Consider the following 17619-nt stretch of genomic DNA (forward strand, 5'->3'; position numbering starts at 1 on the left):
CTGTTGTTTCTGAGCCAGGGCACTTATAAAGAGAATGTGTGCTGGGTTAAAGATGACTTCTCACTTTAAGCCTTCAATATATTATTTTTCATAGTGATCATAAAGCATTTAATAATTCAATAAGCATATTTAAGAAAAAACCATGTTCAGGGAGATTAAATAAATACAAAAATTTGCAGTACAATGAAAATCAAAGACAATCACTCCTTCAACTAAGTCAGTCCTACACTAGGATGAGTGCTGTGATGAAGGAACCAAAGGAACTAGAGAGGTTCAGGAAAGTTAACTTCCCCGTAAACCAGCAAACCAAATTTGAAACTTGATGCATTTATTTCTAAAGTCAATGAATGATCTTGTGCCAGTACAGGCTGTAAGTCTACCCATGTCATAGTCTGCACTCACAAAGAACTCCCTTTTTTTTTTTTTTTTTTTTTGAGACAGAGTCTTGCTCTGTCGCCCAGGCTTGAGTGCAGTGGTGCAATCTCTGCTCACTGCAAGCTCCGCCTCCCGGGTTCACGCCATTCTCCTGCCTCAGCCTCCCGAGTAGCTGGGACTACAAGCGCCCGCCACCACGCCTGGCTAATTTTTGTATTTTTAGTAGAGACGGGATTTCACCGTGTTAGCTAGGATGATATCAATCTCCTGAGCTTGTGATCCGCCCGCCTCGGCCTCCCAAAGTGCTGGGATTACAGGCGTGAGCCACAGCGCCCGGCCAAGAACTCCTTTTTATTTCCACATTCTATGTTTTAGGATAGTGGTCATACCTGTCTTAATAACGGCAGTCATTGAGCATGTAGAAGTTGCTGGACCTCCAGCACACCCCAGGCCCCCAGAAGAAGTGGGGCCTCCTGGTGCACCAGGTAAGAAGTCTATTTCTTTTGCTTTAAAATGCCCCTCTCCTTTTCTCCTTTTGTTTGGGAATGTCATCCTTCTCCTAGGCTCAGAATCTTGGAAAACTGATCATTGTAGAGTGATCATCAGCCTGAATCATAGATCCAGTGGAAAAAAATGAAACTTCCTGGACCCAGATTTCTTTTATATGTGAAGAGTCAGATTCATAGGTGGAGGCAGATTTATGGTAGGGGCTGTGAAGCAGTTACCACTTGTGATCAAAGAGTGCTGGGGCTGGGTCATCTGCCTGGTTTAGAGCCAGGAAAGAAAGGCAGCAAAAACTTTAGCAGGAAAACAGCCCCAGGAGAAGAGCAGGATTGAACCATATTAACTGGGCAAATAACAGATTATCCTTGGGTTGGCTCTCAGTGAGCACATGGGTGTAGTAGAAGGATTCATCTTAGACACTACCCACTGTAGAACAGGCCTGCAGAAGTCATTTCCTTTCCAGGTTGGCTCAGGAGTGGATGGGACTTGATGCCCCTCTGCCTGTAGCTGAGTAAGGCTGGGTTGGATGAGAGTTTCAGGGAAGTCCACACATTGTGCAAAGTTTCCCTTGCTTCTAATAGAATAGTCACTGGATATCCAGGTGTTGTCCTGCCTTGGGTTCAAGAGGCTATCGGTTTGGTGACTTCCAGTCTCATTTATCTCAAAGATAAAAGACCGAGATCCTTGGATTCAAAATCTCCAGGAAAAACAATATCATTAAATACATTTTAGATTAATTGAAGTTAGGGGAAAATAAACAACATTCCATAAATTTGTTGCTACATTTTTCTAAACCTTCATCATGAGCACAAAGCCTAATCTAAAAGTGAGAAGCCGACCGGACACAGTGGCTCATGCCTGTAATCCCAGCACTTTGGGAGACGGAGGTGGGTGGATCACTTGAGTTCAGGAGTTTGAGACCAGCCTGGCCAACATGGCAAAACCCTGTCTCTACTAAAAATACAAAAATTAGCCGGGCACGGTGGCACATGCCTGTAGTCCCAGCTACTTGGGAGGCTGAGGCAGAAGAATTGCATGAACCTGGGAGGCAGAGGTTGCAGTGAGCTGAAATTGCTCTACCGCACTCCAGCCTGGGCAACAGAGCAAGACTCCATCTCAAAAAATAAAAATAAAACAAAATAAAATAAAATAAAATAAAAGTGAGAAGCCAACAGAAATAAAATAATAGTTTATATTCATTTAGAACTATTGTTTCCCTGACACTGTGGTAAGTACTTTTATTGGATTGTCTCTTTCCTATCTTCTTGAAGTTTCATAATAGTCCTATGAGAATATATGATTGTTTCCTCCTCCTCTATTGTGTGGTCAAAGAAACAGAGACTCAGAGAATTTAAGTAATTGGACTAGGTGCTGGATAATAGGACAATAGGACAGAAGGACAGAATGTGGTTTGCTCTCTTTATAAACCAAAAGTTCATATTCTTAAAAATGATGCTATGCCAACTGTATTAGTCTGTTTTCATGCTGCTGATAAAGACATACCCAAGACTGGGTAATTTATAAAGAAAAAGAGGTTTAGCAGACTCACGGTTCCACATGGCTGGGGAGGCCTCACAATTATGGTAGAAGGTGAAAGGCACATCTTACATGGCAGCAGACAAGAGAGAATGAGAACCAAGTGAAAGGGGTTTCCTCTTATAAAACCATCAGATCTTGTGAGACTTATTCACTACCATGAGAACAGTATGGGAGAAACCACCCCCATGATTATTAATTCCCACCAGGTCCCTCCCACAACATGTGGGAATTATGGGAGCTACAATTCAAGATGAGATTTGGGTGGGGCCACAGCCAAACCATATCACCAACAAAGCAATATTTTTTTTACAATTAACCTAAAACAGATTGATAGTGTTGAATTGACACCCTAATCATTGCTTGGGATGTTAAGGGCAAAACAGGAAACACCTGAGCAAGCATGGGGGATTTAATATAAATCCTGGGAACTTGGGAAGGCAATACAAAGCCTTAAGATGCAATTAGTTTCATGACCATTTAGGTCCAGAAATAGCCATGGTTGAAGTCAAGGATAATGAAGCTTGGGACATGTGATCCAGGGAAAGCTAAGTATATGGATCAAGGCAGGGTGGGAAATAAAGGAGTGGGTATTACCTTCCAAGGTGGGTTGTTTTGAGGGCTCTGTTAGGGGAGGAGAAAACTGAAGCTGATATTAGAACCACAAATATTAAGGTAAAAAAAAAAATAAACTGGAGATCTATATGTCTCAAAGAGAGCTTGTGAAGTTCCATAGCCATGAAATGAATGACTAAATGTGCCCACTGAGTTGTCAGCTTCTCGTTGGTTGTTTCTCATTTTTTCTGGAATGTCCTGGTGCCCCAGGTTTACCACAATATACAGGAGAAATAAGTGAAATGACAAAATGCCCCTGTCCTGATATAGAAAGGTCAGCCTTTACTGTGAAGCTCAGTGGAAAACTTCCTCTTCCTTTCAAGCCCATCATCTTCACAGGGGTCCTGTACAATGCCCAGAGGGATTTAAAGGAGGCCATGGGAGTCTTTGCTTGCAGGGTGCCTGGGAATTACTACTCCAGCTTTGATGTTGAGCTGCATCATTGCAAGGTGAATATTTGGCTAATGAGGAAGCAAATTTTGGCTAATAAGGAAGAAATTTCTAAGCAGCAAAGCATTCAAGAGGTGACTTGGGTGCTGTTAAAGGCATTCAGTTTCATAAGGGAGGCAGAGCATAAGAGTTCAGAAAATTTGCACCCTGACAATGTGATAAAAAAGAAAAACCCATTTTCTGAGGGGAAATTCAAGCTGGCTGCAGAAATTTGCATATGTAATGAGGAGCTGAATGTTAATCCTCAAGACAATGGGGAAAATATCTCCTGGACATGTCAGAGGTCTTCACAGCAGTCCATCAAATCACTGGCCTGGAGGCCTAGGAGAAAATGGTTTTGTGGGACAGGCCCAGGGTCCCTGTGCTGTGTGCAGCCTAGAGACTTGGTGCCCTGTGTCCCAGTTAATTCAGCTGTGGCTTCAGAGGGTGCAAGCCCCAAGCCTTGGCAGCTTCCAAGTGGTGTTGAGCCTGTGGGTGCAAAGAAGTCAAGAATTGAGGTTTGGGAACCTCCAATCAGATTTCAGAAGATATATGGAAACCCCTGGATGCCCAGGCAGAAGTTTGCTGTAGGGGTGGGGTCCTCATGGAGAACCTCTGCAAGGGTAGTACAAAAGGGAAATGTTGGGTGGGAGCCCCCACACAGAGTCCCCAGTGGGGCTCCATCTAGTAGAGCTGTGAGAAGAAGTCCACCATCCTCCAGACTCCAGAAGGGTAGATCCACTGACAGCTTGCAGCATGTGCCTGAAAAATCCACAGACACTCAGTGCCAGCCTGTGAAAGCAGCAGGGATGGAGTCTGTACCCTACAAAACCGTAGTGGCAGAGCTGACCAAGACCGTGGGAATCTACCTCTTGCATTGTCATGACCTGGACGTGAGACATGGAGTCAAAAGAGATCATTTTGGAGCTTTAAGATTTGACTGCCCCACTGGATTTCGGACTTATATGGGGCCCGTACCCCTTTGTTTTGGCCAATTTTTTCCATTTGGAACTGCCGTATTTACCCAATGCCTGTACCTCCATTGTATGTAGGAAGTAACTAACTTGCTTTTGATTTTACAGGCTGATAGGCATAAGGGACTTGCCTTGTCTCGGATGAGACTTTGGACTGAGGACTTTTATTTTTTCATTTTTTTTTTTGAGACAGAGTCTCACTCTGTCATCCAGGCTGGAGGGCAGTGGGGCAATCTCAGCTCACTGCAACCTCCACCTGCTAGGTTCAAGTGATCCTCCTGCCTCAGCCTCCCAAGTAGCTGAGATTACAGGCATGTGCCACCACGCCTGGCTATTATTTGTATTTTTAGTAGAGACAGGGTTTCACCATGTTGGCCAGGCTGGTCTCAAACTCCTGACCTCAGGTGATCTGCCCACCTCGGCCTCCGAAACTGCTGGGATTGCAGGCACGAGCCACCACACCTGGCCAGGACTGTGGACTTTTGAGTTAATGCTGAAATGAGTTGAGACTTTGGGGGATGGTTTGGAAGGCATGAATTGGTTTTGAAACGTGAGGACATGAAGTTTGGGAGGGGCCAGGGGTGGAATGATATGATTTGGCTGTGTCCCCACCCAAATCTCATCTTGAATTCCCATGTGTCATGGGAGGGACACAATGGGAGGTAATTGAATCATGAAGGCAGGTCTTTCCCATGCTGTTCTCGTGATAGTGAATAAGTCTCACAAGATCTGATGGTTTCAAAAAATGGGAGAGTCCCTGCACAAGTTCTCTCTTTGCCTGATGCCATCCATGTAAGACATGACATGCTCCTCCTTGCCTTCCACCGTGATTGTGAGGCTTCCCCAGCCACGTGGAACTGTAAGTCCAATTAAACCCTTTTCCTTTATAAATTACCCAGTCTTGGGTATGTCTTTATCAGCAGTGTGAAAACAGACTAATACAGGTGGTATCTCATTGTGCTTTTAATTTGCATTTCCCTGATAATCAGTGATGTTGAGCATTTTTCCATGTGCTTGTTGGCCATTTGTATATGAATTCTCTATTCATATCCTTTGCCCACTTTTTGATGGGAGCATTTGTTTTTTTCTTGCTGATTTGTCTACTCCCTACTCTCTTTCCTCTCCTTCTGTTGCTTCCTTTACACATTTGTCAGTTCAGTTAATGGGGTCCTTCATTTCTCTCAGACTGTTTATTTTCCCTCATTCTTTTTTTCCTTCTTAGGATCACAAAACTTTTCATTTTCCTTTAAGTTTGCTGATTCTTTCTTCTGACAATTCAAATTTACTCTTATACCCCTCTAGTAAATTTTCTATTTCAGTTCTTTGCTGTACTTTTTAACTCCAAAACTTTCATTTTCTTTTTTATTTTATAATTTATATCTCTTTATGTGCTATTCTCTATCTGGTAAACTAGCTAGCCTATGGTTTAGCTTGCTATTCTCATGGAAATACAAGCCTCTTCTTAATTGCTTACCACCAAAATCTACATTGCCTTTAAGGGAACCCTTAGGCTTGACTTTCCCCATGCTCTTTTCCAAAGCAAGTTAGCTCCTTTGGGGAAAGAAATGACCTTTGTTTGTGGTCATTGCCTTTCTCTCCCCACTTGCAAATAATCTCTGGGCCATTTCTTCAGAGCTAGTGGGTGCAGAGGTGGTCTGATTCTTTTGGAGTGACACTCTTGCTTTATGATCAGGAAACTGGGCTGGAGGGCTGCCTCTGGTCTCCTTGGCTTGCTTCTCCAGTAATGGAACCTCTGCCCTATGAATGAGTTGGGTGGGAGAGGTTAGAGCCCCATTATTCTCAGCCTGCTGTGTCTGGGATAGAGCTTCCTATGAGTAAGGGCTTGGTGGAAGAACTCTGGGCTGCCCTCTCCTGGAATTCAGCCTCTGGAACATGGATCTGGGAGGGGGTTGCAGGTGGTGGGAAATGCTGGCAGCCTCCCCCTTCTGGGAAGATGCTGTGGTCCTCAACTGGGAGCTGGGGGAAGAAAGACCAGTCTAAGTGGCTCTACCCACCCAGAGCAGTGCTCCATCATACAGAACAGTGGGTGCAGTGGGGAGAAAAGGGGATGAATTGTAGCTCAAGTGCTACAGTCTCTTGTTCTTACTGAGATTTAGTAGATGTGATGGTTAATATTGAGTGTCAACTTGATCGAAGGATACAAAGTATTGTTCCTGTGTGTATCTGTGAGGGTGTTGCCAAAGGAGATAAACATTTGAGTCAGTGGACTGGGAGAGGCAGACCTACCCTCAATCTGGTGTCCTCTAATCAGCTGCCAGCATGGCTAGAATACAGCAGGAAGAAGTTGAAGGGATTTGAATTGCTGAGTCTTCTGGCTTTCATCTCTCTCCCATGCTGGATGCTTCCTGCTCTCGAACATCAGACTCCAAGTTCTTCAGCTTTTGGACTCTTGGACTTACACCAGTGGTTTGCCAGGGGCTCTCAGGCCTTCAGCCACAGACTGAAGGCTGTACTATTGGCTTCCCTACTTTTGAGGTTTTGGGACTCAGACTGGCTTCCTTGCTCCTCAGCTTGCAGACGGCCTATTGTGGGACTTCACCTTGTGATTGTATGAGTCAATATTCCTTAATAAACTCCCTTTCATATATACATCTACCCTATTAGTCCTGTCCCTCTAGAGATACAGAAGATTTTCTTGAAAAAAATATTTCTTTACTTACTACATGCCCTTAGGACAATTTAAAGATACTTTACATTAAAAAGAAAATATTTTTAACAATTATGGTTGCTGGTGAAGGAGTCATTAAAGCTCTTCATGCCGCCATCCTGGAGATCGTCTTTGCCCACAAATATTAACAAGTAGAACATAATATCTACTGAAATCTATGGAAAAAATTATTTACACTCTGAAAGGGGTCAAGTTATTCTCAGAATCTCTCTCTCTCTCTCTCTCTCTCTCACACACACACACACACACACACACACACCACTTTGAAATTCACATAATCTATCTTCCTTATATGACAAAAAAGAATAGCTCTAAAAACTGGCCTTAAAGATGCATATGAAGGGTTTGACAAACTTCAATGTTCCTTGTAGAACTTGTAGAAGTTACATATCACTGAGAAGTGTTAGTGTTTGAAGAAAAATATGGAAAATATGAAGACGAAGTATATGACCTACATTTTATCTGCTGCATTCATGAAGCACTCAAAATTTATGGCAAAATAATTTTTTTGTTTTTAAATATTTCTTGCCTTTTTATAGTTACAGTTATATACGTATAAAATACATATAATTTATATCTATATTATACTTATATGTATGGATATAATTTTCTCATCCAAAGGACAATTTTTAGAGTAAAAGGGACAGTAGTTATAATGCTCCCAATACAATATGAAATGGTATTGGCATGATGTACATAAACTGAGGTTGTTCCAAGCCATTTAAGACAAGCACCCACTCTACATACAATATGAAGTGAATTGTGAAGGCACCAGGTATGCTTTTGGTATATGTAAGATTAGTTTCTTGAACATATTTCTAATAGCTGTTTCAAGTTTTGTCTGCTAAATCTAATACCTGGGCCTCTTTAAAGACTATTTCTACTGACTACTTTTACTCCCTGCAAAAGGGTCACACTTTCCTGTTTCTTTACATATTCTACATTTTTTATATTTGAATATCATTACTAGTAGATTGTAACAATTTTGGATTCAGATGTCACCAATTTATTCCATACTCTGCTGCCATTGATGTCTCTTACAGCTCAAAATTACTGCTTACTTAACAACAAAACAAAACAAAACAAGACTTTTTTTTATACCCTAAGCCTGGCTTTCTGGGATTGTCACAGGGTCAGGATAGGTTAGTGGTCAGCCAATGATTGATCAGAGCTTGTGCTTAAACAAAGATCAGGCAATGTTCAGCTCTGTCTGCCTTTACTTTCTGTGTTTGCAGCCTTCCTAGTTAGCCAGGGACAATTGGCTTTGTGCTGCTCCTTCTGGTCTTTTCCTGAGCTTGAAAGAAGCCTGTGCATGTGAACAACCTTCCAGACCACAATGGATAAATATGATCTTATCAAAACCCTTGTTGGCTCTCGCATTCCCCCAAACCCCTTGTTAAATTTCTCGTGGGTCTATTGCTTGCTCCAGCTAGTATGAAGAGCTCAGACTAGCTGTGACATTGGCCTTCCCTGATCATTTGCTCCTTAAAACACTGTTGTTTTTGGCAGTGCCCTTGGGCATATTTCCCTCTTACTGCTGAAAATAAAGTCAGTAACCTCTGCTGCCAGTCCTCTCTGCCTGCCACACACTGATAGAACTTCTACACTCCAGAGCTGGGAGTTAAATAAGAGTAACCCCAAGGAAGAAACCACAGGCTGTCCTTCCTGAGATTCAGTGGACAGTTTTGAATAAATACTCAGTTTTTGGTATGCATTGGTCATTTTCCAAAGTTTTTAATGTTTGTTTTTGGCTATTTTGCCCAGTTTTATTATTGACTTTTGAGAGGATTGCCAAGCTCATCACTCAACGATTTTCAAAGGCTCACCCTCAATTAATTCAATTTTGATTAACTTGGGTTTACCTTGGCAAGCACAGAGCCTGGCTGGCACATGTGAGGATGTCAGTAGAAGGATTATTATAGCAAAGCAGAAAGTTATCAGAACATATGGAGAGCAAGGGAGAGAGAGAGACATTCGAGGAAAATGTTTGGGCTCTAAATTAGGAGGAAAATCTGTAGTGTCCTACATTTAACCCTGATTTGAACAACTAAGCCACTTCCTCTACCTGGCATCATTTTTTCAGCCTATGAAATTATGGATTTAGATGACAGGAAATGAGACATATTCCTTCTCTCATGTCTCTGGAATAGTCAGAGATGGGTTCACAAGGTGATACTGATGAAATGACCAAGAGAAAGGGAAGAGCCAAAACAAAGTTGATTGGCATAAGAGGCCCAGGCTTGACTATGAAAATTGGAGGTGGCTGGCTATCAAAGGTTGGTGAACATAAGTGTTTCAGTTTGAATGTCAATGGGTCAACTTTCCTTAATATATTTGAGATTTAGCTATTCTGGTTAAAAAAATAACCCCAACTTCAGCCTCATGAGACCAAAAAATCAAATATTGAAAGAAATCAATGTATTAAACCATTCATCACAATGTTTCAAAAATCAAGCAGATATATCAGTAATAGGACAGGTAAGAAGATGGTCACCAAAAGAGCTTCAATGCCCAGAGAGAGAGGAAAAGCTCTTTCCATGAGCGTTGCAGGTAAGTTTTCTTATTAGTATCTATCATAATAAAATTAACCCATTGCATGAGTACAGAGCACTTTCTAAAGCACTTTCTTTTCCCTGCATGTGATTTTTTTTTCATTAGAACAACTCTGGAAGACAATTACCCATAATTCTGGCCAAAAAGAAAGACACCTGCTCAACCTTGCCAATTGGATATTGCAAATAGAAGAGATTAGAAAGAGTAGAAGCCAAATCTAGCGACCAAGACTCTTGCCTTCCATATAGAATTAATATCAAATCATTCACATTAAATCAGGATCATTAGTACATAAACAAGAGTATGAATAACAAAATCCATTATACTGACTTTCAATTAAATCTTAAAATTTAAAATGAAGATGCTCATAGTCATAGTAAACCAATAACATACTACATTGCTCTATATGTTAAAATTTTCTTAATGTCTTAACTCTTCTTGGTATCTGTTTCTGTTTCTGCCTTTCTTTATCTTGATTTAATTCCCAGATGTATTTTGTTTGACTATCCGTATGTTTACTCTTTATTTTCTTTGATTCTGTTTTCTATTTACTATCTCTCTTGTCCTATGTCTGTTTCAATATACTGTTTATTATCTTTCAACTTTTCTTTTATAACTTCACTTCGATTTTAAAAGAGTATCACTTGAGTTGAAATTAGGGCCTGATTTCATGCCCAAAAAAGTGATTGATGGCTTGTTTCAATTTGAAGGCATGTTCTAAAAGTTATGGTTACTGACTAATACCACTTAGAACACTCTACTTTCAAGGTGTAATTGATCATGTTGAAGTTAATTGTGTTTCCCAAGACAAAATTTTATAGTTTTTAATCATAAGATTAATAATTCTATAGTTGTTGCATAGAATTAATTCTATAGTTGTTGCATATATTGACAACTACAGAATTATTGATTCTATAGTTGTTGCATATATTGAGTTATATATATATATATATACACACATATATAGTTGTTGCATATATGTTGAGGTTGATTATTGGAGGCAAATAACAGATTCAGTGCTGTCAAGAATCTAATAGTGCTGCAAAGGGTTTAATATAAGAAGTGCATTCATAGAAGTGAGAATGATGCAACCATACTGTTATTGGCTTGACATCTCAGAGTGAAATGAAAGCCACATAACTAAATAAAAATGCCAAAGGTGGTGGAAAAGAGTAGCTGGCTAATTCAGTGTTTGGTATTAATTCATTCACCACCCAAGAAGTATTCATCATACATCTTTTATGTTCCAAGCATGTAGAGATAGAGCAGTAGCAATAAGACATAGAATAGGAAATGGGCAAAGCAAATGCTCAATCATCATAAGGACATGATTACTCAAACTGATTATTTAAATATAATTGCTAAACAGATGGCAGGAGGCTGCAAGTCCCCAAGAAACAACCTCTACAGTTGGCATGTGTTTGAGAAAGCAGAATAGTTTTCAAGCAGAATGTATTCAAGCAGAATGGCTTTCTTGGATTTTGTTGTGCCCAATAAAATAAAACTTTTCCAAGTCTGGAGTAGAAAGGAGAGGCTTCTTGGAAGTAGCAATGCTTAATTTGGGCCCTGACGGGGGAGGAGAAAGTAGTTGACATGGGAGGAAGGGCAGGAAGGAGGGAGATGTCCATGTACTATGAAATACAAAAACATATGATTCTATTTTATGTTTCTTTTGAAATCTAGGAGCCCAAGGTATACCAGCATGAAGAGGATCACCTGAGTTACCTGGAGATATTGAGATATGCCCACCCCTACCACCATGTGCCTGCTGTGTAAAGCTCAATGGGCCATTACCAGGACCATCCCAGTCCACTGTCTTCCAGGAAGCTCTGTACAACCATCAGAATCATTCTGACCTGGCCACTGGAGTGTGTTCTTCATTCTCCTGCACCACCCTCGTGTATACCACTTTGGTTCTGACATTGCACTGTTTCAGAATGCTGTCAAGGTGGGTCTCATGAGGAATGGTATCCAGGTCAGGGACAAACAAGGAGACCAAGGACAGCCATGAGCAAGTTTCAGGAAGTTCCATCACACAGCTGAGAAATGGGATATGATGTGGCCACAGTCTAAGCTGGACAAAGCGGAGTCTGAAAAAGGAACTTATCTAACTGTATTCTATGGGTATTTGCTCAGTGGAAATTCAGAAGGCTGGAACTAACAGCATGGGCCTTTTCCTCAAGTACCTCTGCACTTAAGAAAGGATGCTTTCTACTGCTCTCAGCCCAAGTATTCCCTCTAGTATCATTCAATGGTGAATAGCTCACCAAATTGGCAATGGCTAAGTTTGAACAAAATGAATATATTAGCAATGACTGAAACCAATAAAGACCAACAACTCATCAATTTGTTGACAGTTTCTTATTTGTCATTCTCAAAATTCAACATCCTGGGTGGCAAAAGTATGGGGAAAATCAAACAAAAACCTCACAATAAAACAGGGAGAGAGAGGAAGCTACCCAGCCAGTTTACTATTGAATACACCATGAAAACTCCCATTCAACTCCTTTATTAAGCACTTTTTCCCACGTCTCTAAGGGACAAAAATCTTGCTCAAATTCCTAAACCTGTTTTGAGAATTAAGTATATGGATATAAAAGTAAATATCCTTGGGACAAATACAAGTTACTTAAAGGACCTAATGAAAATGCTTCCCACCAGAGGATTTCCTTAAAGCACAATTGCATGGGTGGTGGTACCTGGAGACAGAAGGTCAAAGATAGAAGTGAGAGAATTTCTAAGGCTTCATAGATTTTAGACTCTTAATTTACTTCAGACTGTTAGCTACTTACCCAAAACCCATTCTCCCTTTCTTCTACCTAATTTCTATTCTAGCTAATTTGTTCAAGTTGGCTCAATGAGCCCAGTTAAGATACCTAATATGATTAGTCTCTATTACATTCAGGGTGGCCATAAAAAGCACCATCCTTTCCAATGACGTGTAAGTTAGTAGTGCTTTCAGGGTTCATATTTAAAAGGGGAAAGACTCAGTTGGCTTATGTCTTCAGGCTTTGGCCTCTACGCTTTACTCTCTCCATTTCTTCCTTTGCAGAATGTGGTTCTGGTGGCTGCAACAATCATCTTGCAGGCAGCAAACCAAAGCCACATATTCCATGGTGGAGCAGAAGAGAAGTGCCCCCAATCCTTGCAGACTTCCCTGAGCCTCTTGTCAACTTTATACTACTTAGGACTAGACTTTGGGGAAAAAAAATCTTAGCAGGTTTTTTTTTAATTGAACTGTAAATTAAATACATTAAAATGCAAAAATCTAAAGAGTGCATGGAATTTTTACTTACACATACAAGCATGGACCCACCATCCAAGTCAATGTATAAAACATTTCTATCACCCCAGAAATGTCCCCTGTGTCCTTCCAGTCTACAGCCGTGTCTGTAATGTTCAACCCATTAGTCTGACCTTCAGCATTGTCAGTTATCTTTGCCTACTCTTGAGCCTCATATCAATAATATCATGAAATATAAAATCTTTTGTGTCCAGTATTTTTTCACTCTTCATAATGTCAGTGAAATTCACCCACACTGTTGTGTGTGACAGTAGTGTAGTATTTCATTGTATGGAGATGTATACCATTTAATTGTATGACTATACCACCATTTGTTTGTCCACTCTTCTGTTGATGGACATTTGAATGGCTTCCAGGGATGGGCTATTATAAATAAAGCAGTTATATACATTATTGATTATGCCTTTTGTAACACAAACTCTCATTTCTTTGAGGTACATACATCTGAGTGAAATTTGAGGATCTTTGAGTAGATGTATGTTTAAAAATTAGTAAAATAGACACAGATTTTTCAAAGTAATAGAACCAATTTATACCACCAACAAGAATATATGAGTGATCTAGTTGGGCCTCATCCTCACAAAGACTTTATATTATTGAGTTTTAAATTTTAACCATTTTGGTGAGTTTATAGAGTATAATTACGTTTTAGTTTATTTTCTCCAGATAAGCAATAATGTTAAAATGTTTTAAACATTGTATTTGAAATAATTTTGGACTCACATAAGAGCTGCAAAACAATTTAGAGATTTTCCATGTAACCTCACCTAGGTCTCGCGATTATAGCTTTTTACATATATGTGATCCAATTATCAAAACCAGAAAACTGATATTGAAAGAATACTAATTCAACTTAGTATTGACTGTCTATATAAACAGACCTTATTTGGTTTTCGGCAGTTTTTGCATACGCTTTTTTTGGGTAAATAGTTCTATGAAATTCCTTCACATTTATAAATTCATATAACTTCCACTACAATTAGGATAATTTAATTACTGTTTAATTACCCCAGAGAAACATCATCATCCTACCCTATAAAGTAACAAAGCAAATCTATTCCATCAACCACTGATCTGTTCCCCATCTGCTATGGTTTAAATGTCCCTACCAAAATTCATGTTGAAATTTACTTGCCATTGTAACAGTATTAAGAAGTAATCCTTTAAGAGGTAAATGAGGGCTCTGTCCTCATGCATAAATTAATTCTGTTATCATGGGAGTGGGTTAGTTACCATGGAAGTGGGCTCCTCTTCAAGGGATGAGTTTGGGCCTGTTTCCTCTTTCTGACACCCACATGCCATGTGATGTCTTCTGCTGTGGAATGACCCTCTACAGATGTCAATGCCATGTTCTTGGACTTTCCAGACTTCAGAGCCTGGAGCCAAATAAACTTCTGTTCTCTATAAATTACCCAGTCTGTGTAACCTGTTATAGCAACAGAAAATAGACTAAGATGCCATCACTATAGTTTTTAACTTTGAGACTGTATTATAAATGGAATACTACAATATGTGATCTATTACTATTGGATTTTTCACACAACACCATGAACTTGAGATCCATCCAAGTTGTGTTCATCAATATTTTTTCTTTTTTGTTGCTCAATAGTAGGCCATTGCATGAATATGCCACAGTTTGTTTATCCATTCCCTCACTGAAGACCATTTGTGTTGTTTCAAGTTTGGGGCTATAACAAATAAAACTCCTATGAATATTCATGCGCAAGTTTTGTTTGAACATAAATTTTTCTTTTGCTAGGATTCCCAGGAGCAAGATGGTTGAGTCATATAAAATGTATATATACAGTATAAAATTCATATGTAAATTTTGCCAAGCTTTTTTTCAAAATTGGCTGTATTATTTTACTTCCCATCAGCAATATTTGAGAGTTCCAGTTGCTCTCCATCCTTGATATCAGTTATGTTAGTTTATTATTTTAGCTATTCTGGTAGGTGTGTAATATCTCATTGTGGCTTTAGTTTGCATTTCCCTACTGGCTAAAAATATTAAATTTTTTTGTGTTAATTTACTATTTATGTATCCTCTTTGGTGCAATGTCTGTCCAGGTTTTGCCCATTTTCTAATGAGATTGTTTGGTATCTTACTAAATTTGGAGAGTGATTTAAAAAATATATTTACAATGTAAGTGCTTTTTCAGATATTTGATTCAGACATATTTTTTCCTGGTTTATGGCTTCATTTTTGTTTTCTTTTTTTCTTTTTTTTTTTTTTTGAGACAGAGTCTCGCTCTGTTGCCCAGGCTGCAGTGCAGTGGCGCGATCTCGGCTCACTGCAATCTCCGCCTCCTGGTTCACTCCATTCTCCTGCCTCAGCCTCCCGAGTAGCTGGGACTACAGGCGCCCGTCACCATGCCCGGCTAATTATTTTTTTAATATTTTTTAGTAGAGACGGGGTTTCACTGTGTTAGCCAGGATGGTCTCGATCTCCTGACCTCGTGATCCGCCCGCCTTGGCCTCTCAAAGTGCTGGGATTACAGCCGTGAGCCACCGCACCTGGCCTGTTTTCTTAACAGTGTCTTTCATGGAGTAAAAGTTTTAGATTTAATAAGGCCCACCATATTGGTCTTTTTTCTTTCATGAATCATGCTTTGGTGTTTTGTGCAAGAACTCTTGCCTAAACCTAGGTCATAAAGGTTTTCTCCTAAATATTTTTCTGAAAGTTTTGTAGTTTTACATTTAGATGTGTGTTTGTTTCCTATTGCTGCCATAACAAATTGCCACAAACTTAGCTGATGAAAACTATCAATTTATTTTTTCAGTTCTGTAGGTCAAAAGTCCTGATGAGTTTAATTAGTTACTTTACTCTTTCATAAAGCTGAAATCAAGGTGTCAGCTGGCTGGGCTCTTATTGGGAGTTTCCAGAAGATTGCACTTCTGGAGTAATTCACGTTTTTGGCAAAATTCAGCTCCTTATGCTTGTTGGACTGAGGTCTCTATTTCTTGGCTTGCTGACAGTCAGAGGCCAATCTTAGCTTCCAGAGGCTTCTTTCCAGTCTTTGCATTTCAGAGCCAGCAATGCATCATTGAATCTTTCTTATGCTTAGGATCTGTCTGAATTTCTATTCTGCTCTGGCTTCCTTCTACGTAATTATTTTTTATCACTTGTCTGTCACCTAAGTTGGAAAAAGTTCTCTGCTTTAAGGTCTCATGTTAAAACTAACCCAAAAGTCCCATAGACAGGTTTTTAAAAATAAAAGTAGAAATGGACCCTTCTGGTCTTAAAGCTTAAAACTTAAATTTGTTTTATCTGAGTTTCTTCCTCAGGAAAGAACCCCCAAGCCTCTCAAAAAGTATCAAAGAACTGAAACTCACCAGATCACCACATCCAGACAATGAGACACCAGGCCTCTTGTTCATCGTGATTGCTTCCTTATCACCCCTTAGTTCCTGTTTTCCCACACATAGTTATATTTCTTCCCTGCTAAATAAACCCCTCATTTTAGTCAGTAGGAGAGATGAATTTGAGACTGATCTCCCATCTCCTCAGCTGCAAGCCCCCGATTAAAGGCTTCTTCCCTGGCAATCCTCATTGTCTCAGTGGTTGGCTCTCTGTGGGCAAGCAGCAGGACCTATACTGAATCCCTGGCATTTCAGTAACAATGTGATTAGATTGGGCCCATCCTGAAAATTCAGGATAATCTCCCCAGTATAAGGTCCATACATTTAATCCCTTCTACAAAGTTAAAATTACGTATTCCCAAATTCCAGAGATTAAGACATGGTCATCATTAGGAGGCCATTCTGTTTACCTCAAGATCTATCATTCATTTTTAGTTTCTGTATAAAGTGTGAGACTTAGGTTAAGGTTCAATTTTTGCCTATGGAGATCCAGTTATTCCAACATCATTTTTGTAAAAGACCATTATTTCTCTACTAAATTGTGTTTGCTTGTTGGCAAAAATAAATTTGCTTTTGTACTTGTATGGGCTTATGTGTGGACCCTCTGTTCTATTTTATTGATGTGTGAGCATATCTCTTTGTCATACCATCCTGTCTTGATTACTATAGCTATATAGTAAGTTTATAAATCCTGTAGTGTGATTCATCCGCTTTATTTTTTTTAGTCAAAATTGTTTTCCCTAGTCTAGTTCTTTTTCTTTTCAATATAAATTTCCGAATCAGCTTATCTGTATCTCAGAAAAAAATCTGCTAGGGGTTTTGAGAGGCGGTGCATTAAACCTGTAGATATTTCAGGACAATTGATATCTTTACTATGCTTAGTCTTCCCAAACATTAGGCACAGTATGCTTCTCCATTTATTTTGGTCCTCTTTGATTTCTTTGAAGAGGAGCATTATGTAGTTTTTAGCATACATTTCCTCTATAGGTTTCATTAGACGTTTATGTAAGAATTCAATTTTTAGAGCTATAATTTATAGTATTGTTTTTTAAATTTATATTTCCAATTGTTCACTGATAGTATATAAAAATATGATTCATTTGTGTGTGTGTGTTGACCTTGTATCCTGTGACCTTGCCTAACTCACTGAGTACTAAGAGTTTCCTTTGTAAATCCCTTGAAATTTTAATATAGACAATTATGCCATCTGCAAATAGGAACAATTTTATTTCGTTTATTCTCAGTTGGATGTCTTGTATTTCTTTTAATTTCTTTATTCC

The 17619-nt window shown here is 39.5% G+C and overlaps 1 protein-coding gene and 1 long non-coding RNA gene across 2 annotated transcripts in view; one reads left to right on the plus strand and one right to left on the minus strand.

The window, feature by feature from the left end:
• The window catches only part of LARGE1 (LARGE xylosyl- and glucuronyltransferase 1), an 856162-nt gene that overhangs the window by 67180 nt on the left and 771363 nt on the right, over positions 1-17619 (minus strand). The window lies entirely within an intron of this gene.
• On the plus strand, positions 715-12021 carry LOC124905107 (uncharacterized). Its single transcript, XR_007068072.1, has 2 exons — positions 715-860; positions 11359-12021. It is a non-coding gene; the product is annotated as an uncharacterized LOC124905107 (long non-coding RNA).

Source organism: Homo sapiens, chromosome 22 (assembly GCF_000001405.40).
Source record: "Homo sapiens chromosome 22, GRCh38.p14 Primary Assembly".
Classification (NCBI taxonomy): Eukaryota; Metazoa; Chordata; class Mammalia; order Primates; family Hominidae; genus Homo; species Homo sapiens.